Here is a 16,503-nt window from a genome sequence, read left to right on the forward strand (position 1 = left end):
TGGCATGCTGGGAACACTTGCTTACCTTGGGGCCTCCCAAGAATCAGCCCATGGATGGAGACTCTGCCCTACTCACTTTTTATTCTCATGCCGACTAGCACAAGGCAGGTACTCGATGTGTGTCAGTTGACACAAAATAAAGTGAGCATGTCCTAGGGAGGTGAGACAATGGGAAAAGGTGGGTCTCCTCTTGACTCTCATCACCCTTGCTGCCTGGGGTTCCTGTTCCTCCACCTCACTTCCCTGGGGCCTCCCAGTCTGTCTTGCCTCATTGTTCTGTCCCAGGGAGAGAGGGGTGACAATGTCCTAGAGCCAAAGCCATCCCGTGCAAAATCAGGTAGGAGGAAAGTACATACAGTGCTACCCAAAGGGCCAGCCCAGCCTGGAGGAATATGATGCTTTGGGGAGGTACCTGGGGATCCTGTATAGGCAACATAAGCCATGATGGAAAATAAAGTAATACAAGCAGTAACCTCCAAGACAGAAAATTGATTCATTAGTGCCTCTAGTTTGCATGACTATGGAAAAGAACCCTCCCGGCTGAATAACCAGTTATGATCAGCAGTTAAGACCTCTCTTTTGTTTTGTTTGTAAGAAGACCTCTCTTTTGTTTTGTTTTGTTTGTAAGAAGAAGAGAAGAAAGAGAGGAGGGAAGAGAGGGAGGGCAAGTCAATGAGTTGTGCTGAGGATGAGAGGAGAGATTTATCTTTAAGACTAATAGCTTGTCAATGAGAGCTAGCCTGCCTTTGAGCAGCAGCAATAGCCTGCCTTTGAGATCAGCCAAGTCCCTATTATATATTAAATTCCCTTGCCTGAAAAATAAATTGTGGAAGAAAAAGGGAAATTATGTACATTCCATTTTATGGGAATCAGACTTGTCCGTGATCTTCCCGTCTGTCTAGTGGTTTCCACTTGGCTGGATTTATTGGCATGACTTGCCTTGTGGGTTCACTCTCACTGGGCTCCTGCCTCTTTAGGGGGCTAAAAGTCTTTGTGGGCCCTGCAACAATATGAAAGAGGTCTCTTCCATGCAGACCCATCACCGTGTCCACAGAGAGAACCCATGGGCAGTGTTCTGAGATTGCAGGGTGGCATCTTCCAGCACATAGGTAAGTAACAAGCTTTGTGGTAAATTTGCAATGCAAAATAACCACTTACCAGCTGCCAGAGTAGATACGTTTTACTTTTAAGTAAAATATTAAGTAAATACAGATATTTACTTAAATATCTGTAGTGCCTAACTGGAGTTGCTTTGAATTTCTTGAAAGGATTCAAGCCTTGATTTATTTATTTTTATTTTTTGGCTGTGGAAAGACAACGGTCTCCAAGTCCCTTTCAGAAGGAAATCAATACCCCAGAGTTAATACTCCCTTTCTTTGAGGGAATGATATATCTAAACAAGAGAAAAAATATATTTTTCAGCAAATCTTGACCACAAAATTCATCTGCTCAAGGCTTTAGGTCAATTCATTCATCATGGGCAATTTATGAACCAATGAAGTCAGCCAGCTGGGGGGCAAATCAGGATGGAATAAAGTTATGCATTATTTTTGTATTTGTTCAAAGTAAAAATAACTTTTGGAGGGCCTATGGTGTTAAAATATCAGGTTCAACGTAGAAGTTTCCTCTCTGCTCTTATTTTCCACCATTCAAGACTGCAAACAATATGCTTTGAAAGAAAGAATGACTTTTGGAAAAATTGACTTTCGGAAAAATTGACTTTTACAAGGCATACAGTCTAGCGAAAAGCAGAGTGGAATATAGATAAGTTCAAGTTATCTCCCTGCATGTTTTATGGGAGATAGATTATTGATTGTGTCTTATATTTTTGTTCAAGCCCCTTGTCAATCAAGTGCCCTATAGATTATCCTTTGAGAGAACACAATACTATTGATTCTCCTAGACCAAGCTTCAAACATTGGAATTTTGATAGAGATGGCATTGAATCTGTAGGTTGCTTTGGATAGTATGGCCATTTTAACAATATTAATTCTTCTAATCCATGAACAGGATATCTTTCCATTTATTTTCAATTTCTTTCTTTTTCAATTTCTTTCATCATTGTTTTATAAATTTCAGTGTACAAATCTTTCACCTCCTTGGTTAAATTTATTCCTAAGTATCTTCTCTTTTTTTGCAGCTATTGTAAATGGGATTATTCCCTTGATTTCTTTTTCAGATAGTTCACTGTTAGTGTATAGAAATGCTACTGTTGTGTGTTGATTTTGTATCACGCAGCTTTACCGAGTTTGTTTATTAGCTGTAACAGTTTTTTGGTAAAATCTGTAAGATTTTCTATATATAAGATCATTTTCTCACCAATGGTTATCTTACTTTTTATTTCTTCCCTTTGTCTAATAACTCTGGCAAAGACTTCCAATAATATGTTGCATATGGCAAGAAGTGGGCATCTTTGTCTTATTGCAGATCTTAGAGAAAAGGCTTTCAGTTTTTTACTGTTGCACAAAATGTTAGGTGTGAGCTTCTCATATATGGCCTTTATAATATTGAGGTACATTCCTTCTGCACCTAGTTTGGTAAGAGTTTTTCTTTCTTTCTTTCTTTTTCAAATTATTACTTCTTGCAAACAAGGCTACTCCATAGGCAACGTGCACAGAGTAGCTGGTACGCATCTTTTTTAATCATGAAAGAATGTTGAATTTTGTCAAATGCTTTTTTGTCATCCATTGAAATGGTCATATAATTTTTGTCTTTCCTTCTGTTAATTTGATGTATCACATTTATTGGTTTGTGTATGTTGAACCCCTTCTGCATGCCAAGGATAAATCCTACTTGATTATAGTGGACGATCCTTTTAATGTGGTGTTTAATTCCATTTGCTAACATTTTGTTGAGGATTTTTGCATCTATGTTAATCAAGAATAGTGGCCTGTAATTTTCTTTTCTTGTAATGTCTTTTTTTGGCTTTGATATCAAGGTAATACTGGCCTTGTAAAAAGATTTAAGAAGTGTTTCCTCCTCTTCAACTATCAGAAAGAGTTTAAGAATCAGTAATAGTTCTTTTTTAAATGTCCGATAAAATTCAGCAGTGAATCCATCAGGCCTTGAGTTTTTACTTTTTTTAAGAGATAGGGTCTCACTCTGTCACCCTGGCTGGAGTACAGTGGCACGATCATAGTTCACTGCAGCCTCAAACTCCTGAGCTCAAGTGTTTTTACTATCTCAGCCTCCCAAGTAACCAGGACAGCCACCAATTACCCTTAATGGGAAGGGGTCTCATTATGTTCCACAGGCTGGTGTTGAACTGGCCTCAGCCTCCCAAAGTGCTGGGATTACAGGTGTGAGCCACCATGCCCGACCCTGTGCTTTTCTTTGATGAGAGAGTTGTTTTTTTGTTTTTTGTTTTTTTCTTACTGATTCAAAGTCCTTACTCATTACTGGTCTCTTCAGACTGTCTACTTTTCTATGATTCAATCTTGATAGGTTAGATGTCTCTAGGAATTTATCCACTTCTTCTAGGTTATCCAATTAAAATTCCACTCTTTTTAATCTATCTTCTTTTTGGCTAAGAATAATTTTTAATCTATCTTCTTTTTGACTAAGAATAATTATTTTAGACCTCTTGATTTTTATCACTAGCTCTTTTCCTGGCTCACTTCAGTAGAATCACATATGAGAACAGGTAAAAAGCAACAGTCAGCTTGAGAGGCAGCTGCTGCCCAACATTCTATTGAAAAGAACACAAAGGTTCATTCTGTATACAGTAAATTTGTGCTCAAGCTCTTAATGTCTTTAAGACATTATCATGGTGGCGGCATAGAGGACAATAGTAGAATACAGTGATTAAAAGCATAAACTTTGATATTAGTCAAACTGGATTTGAGTCCTGGTTCTGCCATATATTGACCATGTGAACTCTGGGAAGTTCACTTATTGATTCAACAAATATGTGTTGAGTGCCTACTGTATGCCAAGCCCTAAATGGAGAATACTGCAGTGAACAAGGCAGATATTATACCCAACTTCGTAGCTCATATACATAAGAGAGACATTAAGTAATTACACAAGGATTAATTTACCTAATGTTGCAAAGAAGAAGTAAAACTGTGTTATGAGATTGATTTGACCTGCTCTGCACAGTTCAGAAAGCTTCCCTAAGGAAGTTGGGATCTAAGGGTCCAACATGAGTTAACTAAGCACAAAGGGGAGAATGAGAACTTTGAGGAAAGGCAGTTGGTAGGTGGGAAAGCCCTGGAGCAGAGAGGAGGCTGGTAAGTCTGGAACAAGGAGAACAAAGGCAGAGGTACAAGAGGAGTTGGCGATGCAAGCAGGGGCCAGAGCATGATGGGCCTGGAGGCCATGTTAAGGATTTTGGTCTTTGCCCTAAAATCAATGGGAAGTCTTCAAGCAAGGGAGGAACACAGTCAGATTTGCCTTTGCTAAAGATCATTTGGACTTCTTTGGAGAGCACAAAGCAGACTGAGGCAAAAGTGACAGGAGGACCCACCAGGAAGCTGCTGTTCTAAAATGGGTAGTGGGATTGCAGAGGAGTGGAGAAATTCACTGGATATTTACAAGGTAGAGTGGAAAGAACTCCATTGGATATGGAGGGTGAGGCTGGGTCAAAGATGACTCCCAAATTTCCAAATTACAGGACTGGATGGAAAGTGGTGCCATTTACGAAGACTGGGACTGTGGATGAGGGCGAAATTTTGGAGGAGAAGGCCTTCAGTTCAGTTACAGTAGTCTACCTTAATATGCGATTTCACTTTACATGGCTTGACTGTTACCCACAGTCAACCACGGTTCGAAAATATTCAATGGAAAATTCCAGAAATAAACAATTCATAAGTTTTTAATCACAGGGCATTCAGAATAGTGTGATGAAATCTCACCCCATCCCACCCAGGATGGGAATCTTCCCTTTGTCCAGGATATCCACGAGGTCTACACTACTGGTCCATTAGTCACTCAGTAGCCATCTTGGTTATCAGATGGAAGAAACATAATATATAAAGGGTTTGGTACTATCCATGGTTTCAGGCACCCAATGAGAGTCTTGGAATTTACCCCCAAGGAGAAGCAGGGACCACTGTACTTAACTTTGGTGACCTTCAGTTCCCTCTCCTCTATAGTAGAGATGACAACAGGGTTCCCCCCATAGGAATATGGTGAGAATTCCATTAGATCCCAAATGTTAAGCACTGAGCATGGTGCCTGGCACATGGAGAGCAGCAATGGCTGGAGACTAATGTTCTGCTCATCAGCCATTAGGTGCAGAGGCACCTGTTTTCACAGCTCCCTGCCCTTCTCTTTGTACCACTCACTACAGTTGTCATTTTACATGCATTTCTGTGATTCTTTGAATAATATTTGTCTCCTCACTCCATTTTAAGCTCCAAAAAGGCAGAGGCTGATATGATTTTGCTCAGCATTGTATTCCCAATGCTGGGCATTGTGATGAAAATGGATAAACACACAGCCTGAGCAGGAAACACACACTTCCCCAGAGCCCCATTCATTCCTGCAACCAGGTACCCGCAGCAGGTGCATGGGGACAGCCAGCCATTTCGTTGTTATTGACTACGCCACAGCAAACCACACAGGTCTTCAGATTTCAATGCTAGGACGCAAATCAAAACTCACCCATAGCCTAACCTCAAGCACCTCAGGAAGTTCTTTGGATATAAACGACAGGTGTTTCCTAGCAACACTGCAAGCAGTTGTGCATCGGGGAGGCAGCAGGCTTATTTGCTGTTCCCACTTCCTGCTCTCCCTCTCCCCAGTGTCCTATTACTGCTACTCACAAAAAACCTGGCTTTTCAAACTGTTCAGTCATATTTTTTTGAAGAACAGTCTGGGAAGCACAGAGGAAGATCAAGAAGAAATAAAATTTACATTTAATTTAAAACATCATTTGAACCATTAATTTCCACGGCTTCCCTCGGAGAACATTAATACGAACATCTATCTAACAATAAAACCATTTGATTTAGTGTGTGTATTTTCTTTTCTTAATTTGCTCCTATAGTTCTTATCTTCGAAGTATTCATGTGGCATTTTATTTCATGTCTTATTATTTATTACATCTTATGCAATGTCTCATCTCTGAACAAGATTATAAACACCTCCAGTGCTGGAACTAGCTCCTAGCGAGATATCTTGTCAACATATTCAGTAAGCACGTGTGCCTAATTGATCTGACCGCTTATCTCTGAGAAACACTGAAATCACTGAGGAAGGAAAAGGGAATGGAAAGAAAGAGAGCAAACTCCAGCAAGTTCCCCTAGAGAGCAAAGCACCAACTCACTGAATTAAAGCCACATTGCAGCAGCTAGAATATTCCCTTCATGCATGTGACTTTGCACAGTGAATTTTTCTTCGTTGAGCTTATAGGCTGGCTATCAGCTCTAATGGAGGATCCTCCAAACCCTGATTCTGGTTCACAGCCTGTTGTGTAAGGTATTTCCCTCCTGGGTGGCATTTTTTTTTTTCTTTTTTGAGACAGAGTCCTGCTCTGTCACCAAGGCTGGAGTGCAGTAGCGCAATCTCAGCTCACTGCAATCTCTGCCGCCCAGGTTCAAGCGATTCTCCTGCCTCAGCCTCCAGAAGTAGCTGGGATTACAGGCACGCACCATCACACCCTGCTAATTTTTGTATTTTTAGCAGAGATGGGGTTTCCCCATGTTGGCCAGGCTGGTCTTGAACTCCTGACCTCAAGTGTTCTGCCCGCCTCAGCCTCCCAAAGTGCTGGGATTACAGGCGTTGAGTCACTGTGCCCAGCCTCACAGTAAATGTTTTTAATCATGCTACTTTCACTGTTTGTTGGCACCTGGCTAACACAGGTGCCATTATTTCCTGGAACCTCTTAAATGAGTAAATAACCACGGACAACCAACCAAGGAGGTCCCCATGAGATTGCACCTCAAGCTTCAACCATGAAGTCACAGCAGGGAAGGCTGCAGCCTCTACTCTCTGCTGCTAATTCTACCCTTAGCCAGCCTCTGTGACGGCTTCTATTAGGCCTCATAAATTAAATCCAAAGAGTCAGCATTTCTCCAGGGCTTGGCTAGCTCCTTTCCTAAGCGTCTATCTCAAGTATTCAACCAGAAGGAGCGGAAAGAGTAATAAATCGACTCTTAGTAATACGATGAAGGCCCCACCTGGTATCAAGGGAGAAGGGAAAGAGAATTCCATCGTCATCCAAGAAAGAACATCTGCCAAGAAGACCTTGACTGGCCAAGCTGGAGCTCTCCCAGGGCCCTGCGCGCACCGAGTAGCAGTATTTCATTACAGAGCTCCCGATTCCTCACTTCCAAGTCGCTTAGACCCCGGCCAATGAAAACAATAGGAGGAAAACCAGAGGGCTGTAACCGCAGTCACTGGAGTCCCAGGAGCAGCGGAAAACTCTAAAGGGCAATGCTGTTTTCATGGCGAAACCTACACCCCTCGGGTCACTTACGAGGAGCCCCAGCTCAGGTCTTTGTTCCACCCTTACGGGGTTGGCAAAAGCTCGAAACATTTCTCAGTGCCGCTCTGGAGTCAGAGCTTCTATTTTTTCGCTAGATCTTTTTTCCCTTCGATGATTTCAACTATAGGTCTGCATGTTTGGGGAACATTGAAACCGCTCTTGTATTCTTTCATGGGGTGTTCACTGTACACGTCAATAATTATGAAATTAACAGTGTTTAGAATTTAAGGGATAGTTTTGTATTAAGCAGACTTAGTTTCTAAGCTTTGCTTTTATGCCGTTTTAAACACTCGTGATTCAGGGACTCATTCTGATTGTATACAATTTTAAATACATACTGATATTGGTCAGGCGCGGTGGCTTACACCTGTAATCCCAGCACTTTGGGAGGCTGAGGAGGGTGAATTGCTTGAGCCCAGGAGTTTGAGACCAGCCTGGGCAAGATAGTCAGAGACCGTCTCCACAAAAAATAGAAAAATTAGCCAGGTGTGGTGGCGAGTGCCTGTAGTGCCAGCTACACGGGAAGCTGAGGTAGGAGAATCACCTGAGCCTGGGAGGTTGAGGCTGCAGCGGGCTGTGATCAACTCATTGCCTGGGCGACAGTGAGACCCTGTCTTGGGAAAAAAAAAAGATCACAAATATGCAGATTACATACAGAAGCCACTCTATTTCTGGCCTTAAATTCCTTCCCTCCCCTAGAAGTAGCCACTGTTAATATGTTGGGTAAACTTCCAGTCCTATTTGCAAGCATTTGTATAGATGTATGGATATGAATACTTAAAATTTTTTTCATATAAATGAGATCATATGTCTATTGTTCCACAGCTTGCTTTTTGTTGTTGATAATAAAAATTTTATTTCAGGTCAATCCAAACAGAAAAACAAAAAGGTCTGTCCATAAATGTTTTCAGGTTTCTTCAGGGAGAAAAATGAAAGTGTGTTCTAAGAGAAATATCATTTTCTCTTTCAGTTTATAGGCTATTTGGGTCAATACTTATTTTCAGGAATTTTAGTTTATAATTTTTTTATTTTTAATTATTTTGGATACAAAATAGTTGTACATATTCATGGGGTATAGCTTCAAAGCCTTATTTATGTATATGTATAATAATATATTTTGTTCTTTTAAAAGCTGCATTATAGTCCATAAAGAGAATGGGAATGTACTAGACTTAATCTAGCAAACTACTACTAGATAAGCAGGGTGCTTGCAAGATAAATTATGATAAATGCTGTAAATATTTCTTTTTTTCTTTTTTAGAGACAAAAAATGTTTGCCCAACAAATGTTTGCTCTATGATGCCCAGGCTCGTCTGGAACTCCTGGGCTCAAGTGATCCTCCCACCCTGGCCTTCAGAGTAGCTATGACTACAGGTGCACACCACCACACCTGGCCACACATGTCTTTGAAGAACAATCTCTATGCACATAAGTATTTCTTAAGGTCACATTCCTAGAAATGCAATTGGCGTGTCAAAAGATATGTGCACTTTTTTAAGTTTTATTGTTTCACAGTTTATCCATGTTGTAGCATTTATTGGTACTTTGTTCCTTTTTATGGCTGAAGAATATTCTACTGTGTGGCCATACCACATTTGCTTGTCCATTTATCAATTCTTGGACCTTTGGGGTTCTTCCACACTTTATTATGAATAATCTTGCTATAAACATTTGTGCGCAAGACTCTGTGTGTGGTTGTATGTTTTCATTTCTCTTGGGTAAATACTTAGGAGCGGAATTGCTGGGTCATATGATAAATCTGTTTAACTCCTTAAGAAACTGTCAAACTTTTCCAAAGTACCTATGCCATTACATTTTCACCAGCAATAAAACAAGGGATTCAAGTTTTCCACATCCTAGTCAACACTTGTATTTGTATATCGTTTTTGTTATATCCATTCTAGAGCATGTGAAAATATGTTTTTAAATTGGCTTTACTAATTTGCACTTCCCCTGATGTTGTATATATAATACATGCTTCTCTACATCCTCACCAACCATAGCTATTATCAGTCTTTTAAATATTTGCCTTGTGAATATTTGTATAAAGTTACTTCGTTGTTGGTTTAGTTTGCATTTTCCTGATAGTAGTGAGTGAGCATCTCTTCATATGTTGATCGACAATTTGTATTCCATCTTCTGTGAATTACCTGTTCATATATATATATATTTTTACTGGATTAACATTTACAGACATTCTGTATGTAATCCAGGTATTGCTGTATATGTAATATGCCTTAGTCTGTGACACTTAACCTTTCTTACATCTTTCTTGTACAAAAGCATTTAATTTTCACTAGTTAAATCTGTCAGTTTTCTTCATTATAGATTTTGGGCTAAATGTTATGCTTAGGAAAGCCTCCTCCAACACTAGGATTATAGAAATATTCCCTTATAATTTCTTCTAATAATTCTACAGTTTTATTTTTATGCTGAACACTAATAAACTTGGAAATGATTCTTATGTAGAGGAATATATATTTGTTTCGTTCCAGTTGCCCCAAAACTTTTCACTGAATTGTTTACCCTTTCCTAACTGATCTGAAATAAAATCCCACCTCAATCATTGTAAATTTTGACACGCAAGTCAGTCATTTTCTGGACTTTTTATGCCACTCCATTGAACAATTTGTCTTCTCTGAGACAATATTGGGCCAGTTAAATTACTGTTGCTTGAAGGTGTGTTTCGGTATCTGGTCTGGTAAATTCCCTTTCATAACTCTTATCTGTAAAGAAAATATCGCAACTAATCTTTCTAAGTGTAATGGAAATATTTCTGGTTTAATAAGATCTCATAAGAAAAATAAGGTAGAACCACATAAAGGGTTGAAATGGAAAAACAAGGATGAGTTCACATTCTTTAGCTCTGTCATTACTACAGGTGCAAGGACACTTTTGTCCACTAGCAACTCTCTTGTGCACCTCTAGTGCCAGATCATCTCTGTTTCTACTCTTCATCAAAAAAGAAACCAGGACTTCTTGAAAGGCACACAGTCCTATGTCTTGCGTCAGAAAAAAAAAAAAAAAAAAAAATTAGGATGGCCCCAAACATCCTATTGTTGTAACAAAGTAAGGATGCTGCCATAACTGTCAAAAGCAATATTTTACTTTTAAAAAAACCAAAACCCCACAAAAACAAAAGAATAAGCTTGAAGGACTTCCACCAGTCAAGCTGTAATATTCTGAGCATCCAAAAAAGGAGATGAAAATTATAAGGTGAGTCTATAAAGGGACACACATTCATAGAGACTCCAAGAGAAAAAGGAGTTGTAATACAAAATTAAGATGATTATAGGATATAGCTAAGGGACTATTCATATATGTGTGGACATTTTATATGTTGTATGAAGAATATACATTTTCATAAACCATAGACATGTGTTTGTTTCTAGCTATCCTTATAGGAATAAACAAAATCATAAGATAAACTAGAAAAACATAGTACAAACAGACAAAAGAAGCCAGGCGCAGTTGCACATACCTGTCATCCCAGCATTTTGGGAGGCTGAGGAAGGAGGATCACTTGAGGCCAGGAGTTCAAGACCAGCCTGAGCTGTAACATAGTGAGACCCTGTCTCTACAAAAAAAAATAAAAAAAAAATGAGCCAGACATGGTGGTGCATGCCTGTAGTCCCAGTTATTTGGGAGGCTGAGGTGGAAGGATTGCTTGAGCCTGGGAGGTCAAGGCTGCAGTGAGCCAAGATCGCGTCACTGCACTCCAGCCTGGATAACAGAATTCTGAGACTCTGTCTCAAAAAAACAAAATAAAATCGTCATCAGTGGTCACATATAATAAATACAAATAAAGGAGTCTACTTGATCATATGTGATCACAAATAAAAGAGGATCCAGCAGTTATGTCCAAAGATAATAAATAGCCAAATATCTCAGGGACAAGCGTTCACCACACAGACTTGATGGTTCTACTAGACAAAATCTCAAAATGATCCTAGTTACATGAGATATTCACAGGCATATGTAAGTTTTCGATTACACTAACGGACAAGATCAACAGATCATAAAAAGGCAAGACAATGAGTAGGTCAGGCTGACTATGCAAAATGAAAGCATCCACTTCTGGGAAGGACACCAAGTTTCCTAAATGAAAGAAGAAATGGCAAGATATTAAAAATTCCATGACAAAGCAAGGAAGAATTAATTTTAACGAAGGACTTTGTCCAGGGCCCATGGCCCATGACTGCAGCAGCGTGGACTGTGCTGCCAGGCCCTCCATCCTAAGAATCAGTCAAGAACCCAGATCTTGCTCCTTCAGTTAGCCTGAGGGGGGATTTCTTTCCTTTTAGTCTTGGTAAAATTACTGCAAGCCCAGAAAGGACAGTATAACAGAATATGTAGGAGAATATAAAAATAAATATGCCAGTTTTCAAAGGGAATGCTTCCAGTTTTTGCCCATTCAGTATGATATTGGCTGTGGGTTTGTCACAGATAGCTCTTATTATTTTGAAATACGTCCCATCAATACCTAATTTATTGAGAGTTTTTAGCATGAAGGGTTGTTGAATTTTGTCAAAGGCCTTTTCTGCATCTATTGCGATAATCATGTGGTTTTTGTCTTTGGTTCTGTTTATATGCTGGATTACATTTATTGATTTGCGTATATTGAACCAGCCTTGCATCCCAGGGATGAAGCCCACTTCATCATGGTGGATAAGCTTTTTGATGTGCTGCTGGATTCGGTTTGCCAGTATTTTATTGAGGATTTTTGCATCAATGTTCATCAAGGATATTGGTCTAAAATTCTCTTTTTTGGTTGTGTCTCTGCCCAGCTTTGGTATCAGGATGATGCTGGCCTCATAAAATGAGTTAGGGAGGATTCCCTCTTTTTCTATTGATTGGGATGCCCTCTCTCACCACTCCTATTCAACACAGTGTTGGAAGTTCTGGCCAGGGCAATTAGGCAGGAGAAGGAAATAAAGGGTATTCGATTAGGAAAACTGGAAGTCAAATTGTCCCTGTTTGCAGACGACATGATTATATATATAGAAAACCCCATTGTCTCAGCCCAAAATCTCCTTAAGCTGATAAGCAACTTCAGCAAAGTCTCAGGATACAAAAATCAATGTACAAAAATCACAAGCATTCTTATACACCAACAACAGACAAACAGAGAGCCAAATCATGAGTGAACTCCCATTCACAATTGCTTCAAAGAGAATAAAATACCTAGGAATCCAACTTACAAGGGATGTGAAGGACCTCTTCAAGGAGAACTACAAACCACTGCTCAAGGAAATAAAAGAGGATACAAACAAATGAAAGAACATTCCATGCTCATGGGTAGGAAGAATCAATATCATGAAAATGGCCATACTGCCCAAGGTAATTTATAGATTCAATGCCATCCCCATCAAGCTACCAATGACTTTCTTCACAGAACTGGAAAAAACTACTTTAAAGTTCATATGGAACCAAAAAAGAGCCCGCATCACCAAGTCAATCCTAAGCCAAAAGAACAAAGCTGGAGGCATCACACTACCTGACTTCAAACTATACTACAAGGCTACAGTAACCAAAACAGCATGGTACTTGTACCAAAACAGACATATAGATAGATCAATGGAACAGAACAGAGCCCTCAGAAATAACGCCGCATATCTACAACTATCTGATCTTTGACAAACCTGACATAAACAAGAAATGGGGAAAGGATTCCCTATTTAATAAATGGTGCTGGGAAAACTGGCTAGCCATATGTAGAAAGCTAAAACTGGACCCCTTCCTTACTCCTTATACAAAAATCAATTCAAGATGGATTAAAGACTTAAACGTTAGACCTAAAACCATAAAAACCCTAGAAGGAAACCTAGGCAATACCATTCAGGACATAGGCATGGGCAAGGACTTCATGTCTAAAACACCAAAAGCAATGGCAACAAAAGCCAAAATTGACAAATGGGATCTAATTAAACTAAAGAGCTTCTGCACAGCAAAAGAAACTACCATCAGAGTGAACAGGCAACCTACAGAATGGGAGAAAATTTTCACAACCTACTCATCTGACAAAGGGCTAATATCCAGAATCTACAATGAACTCAAACAAATTTACAAGAAAAAAACAAACAACCCCATCAAAAAGTGGGCGAAGGACATGAACAGACACTTCTCAAAAGAAGACATTTATGCAGCCAAAAAACACATGAAAAAATGCTCACCATCACTGGCCATCAGAGAAATGCAAATCAAAACCACAATGAGATAGCATCTCACACCAGTTAGAATGGCAATCATTAAAAAGTCAGGAAACAACAGGTGCTGGAGAGGATGTGGAGAAATAGGAACACTTTTACACTGTTGGTGGGACTGTAAACTAGTTCAACCATTGTGGAAGTCAGTGTGGGGATTCCTCAGGGATCTAGAACTAGAAATACCATTTGACCCAGCCTTCCCATTACTGGGTATATACCCAAAGGACTATAAATCATGCTGCTATAAAGACACACGCACACGTATGTTTACTGCGGCATTATTCACAATAGCAAAGACTTGGAACCAACCCAAATGTCCAACAATGATAGACTGGATTAAGAAAATGTGGCACATATACACCATGGAATACTATGCAGCCATAAAAAATGATGAGTTCATGTCCTTTGTAGGGACATGGATGAAACTGGAGTATCATCATTCTCAGTAAACTATAGCAAGGACAAAAAAACCAAACACCGCATATTCTCACTCATAGGTGGGAATTGAACAATGAGAACACATGGACACAGGAAGGGGAACATCACACTCTGGGGGCTGTTTTGGGGTGGGGGGAGGGGGGAGGGATAGCATTGGGAGATATACCTAATGCTAGATGACCAGTTAGTGGGTGCAGCACACCAGCATGGCACATGTATACATATGTAACCAACCTGCACATTGTGCACATGTACCCTAAAACTTAAAGTATAATAATAAAAAAATAAAATAAAATAAACATGGTCATAGTAGTAGGAAAGTGTTTTTAAAAGTATAAAACTAATGGAAAAATGGCCAGGCATGGTGGCTCATGCCTGTAATCCCAGCACTTTGGGAGGCCAAGGTAGGAGGATCCCTTGAGGCCAGGAGTTCCAGACCAGTCTGGGCAACATAGTGAGACCTTGTCTCTACAAAAAAATAATTAGCAGGCATGGTGGTGTGTAACTGTTGTTCCAGCTACTTAGATGGCTGAGGCGAGAGGAGCACTTGACCCAGGCAGTCAAGGCTGCAGTGAGCTGTGATCACACCATTGCACTCCAGCCTTGGTAACAGAGAGACTCTATTTCAAAAACAGTAATAATGGACATAAAACTTGATTTTGATTTTTTAAATGGGTAAGTTATTTTTAAAATGTGCTAACCATTGTGTTCAAGTATAGTTTACATAATGTTTAAGGAGTTTACAAGGTTTCAAACAATCAGGTATACTCAATCTATAGCCGCACTTTAGGCTGTTTGAGGCGATTTAATTAATTTAATTAGCAATACATGTTTAAACGCTCAAGAAAAATTGCCGTTTGTTTTCTTTCTCCCTTCCTTCCTAATTCAGTCACAAAGCCACTAGGCAGTGCCTGGGAGGTGAAAGCGGCTGAAGAAGGTCAGGGGATTGAGAAAATAAATGAGTGGAGACAGTGGAAGCCAGGGTTGTCACTGTAGGAGGAGGGAGTGACAAATTCGGAAAGGGGGAAAAGAACATGCCACTAGGTTGGGATTGGAGGTATCAACGTGACCTCATGATATTCTTTTTTTTTTTTTTTTTGAGACGGAGTCTCGCTCCGTCACCCAAGCTGGAGTGCAGTGGTGTGATCTTGGCTCACTGTAACCTCCGCCTCCCAGGTTCAAGTGATTCTCTCCTGCCTCAGCCTCCCGAGTTGCTGGGATTACAGGCACGTGCCATCACGCCTGGCTAATTTTTGTATTTTTAGTAGAGACGGGGTCTTGCCATGTTGGTCAGATTGGTCTTGAACTCCTGATCTCAAGCAATCCACCCGCCTTGGCCTCCCAAAGTGCTGGGATTACAGGCGTGAGCCACCATACCTGGCCCGACCTCATGATATTCTATATAGATATAAAAATAAACATCAATACAAATGTGTGCATACATATTTACACTTAGACACACATGCACATATATAGTTTGAGGGTTTCTAGGAATAGCAGGACTGCAGTAGCAATGGATACACTTTCAATAAATGAGTGAGCGAGTGCCCTTTGTGCCACGGCAAGTGCTAATTATCATCTTGCTAGAAAATCTAGGAGCAAGTGGGAAGATATTCAAAGGATCCCCAATTGATAATCAGACTATGTTTTCTCATGAGACAAAACGAAGTAGAAACTGTGATTGTTAGGCTAGCTCATAAAGATTTTATTTATCCGAAGACCCTGGAAGTAAAATACTTCATCTCTTATTATACTAGGAAATGTATGCCGGGTAGTATTATTTTAAAACTTCTTTTAGCTGTCCTACAGTATTTTAAATCTTACTAAACACTTTAATTGCCCTGTCTTCTTTCAAATCTATTACCACTACTGTAAAACACACACACACACACACACACACACACACACACACACACACAGAGAGAGAGAGAGAGAGAAAGAGAGAGAGATTGGGGAAGTGGTCGAATTAAATGGATTGACAGCCTCAACACAGTCACCGGGACAAACTGCCTAGTTATTCCAAGGATGCAGCTACTCCTCAAATGATTTTTGGAATCTATCTTCTGCACTGGCTTTAGAGTTCATGGTATAACCTTAGAGATAGTAAATTTTTACTCTCCTGAGTAGATATAATATTTTAAAAAAGTCCAAAGACACTAGAAGTTGGGTGATCAAACTGAGTAATAATTTGTAGTTGAAAAATAAAGGCATAATTATAAAGAGACTTGAACCTCCAAAGTATACCAGTAGTATAATGCAATCAGGCGTATACCTTTCCAAAGTAACTTCTTTGAGGAATAACATTAATTTACTTGAATAAGCAAAAAAAACCTCATAATCACACTTCAGACATGCCGTATGTACTGGGGTCAAACGCACTGAACAATGGCCCTTCCCAAAACATGTCTCCCACTGTCCTACCAAGCT

General features: G+C 39.8%; 2 annotated features.

Moving 5' to 3' along the window:
- Nucleotides 4,899–6,170: an enhancer, noted in NCBI's record as "amplified fragment containing the chr10:14548654-14549923 (GRCh37) CAGE-defined region". NCBI's record gives its function as "transcribed enhancer in T cells {active_cell/tissue: T cell}" and the evidence as "EXISTENCE:reporter gene assay evidence [ECO:0000049][PMID:24670763]".
- Nucleotides 5,416–5,475: an enhancer, noted in NCBI's record as "active region_3071". NCBI's record gives its function as "activates an Ori minimal core promoter by ATAC-STARR-seq in GM12878 lymphoblastoid cells {active_cell/tissue: GM12878}" and the evidence as "EXISTENCE:reporter gene assay evidence [ECO:0000049][PMID:35858748]".

Source organism: Homo sapiens, chromosome 10, assembly GCF_000001405.40.
Source record: "Homo sapiens chromosome 10, GRCh38.p14 Primary Assembly".
NCBI classification, from domain to species: domain Eukaryota; kingdom Metazoa; phylum Chordata; class Mammalia; order Primates; family Hominidae; genus Homo; species Homo sapiens.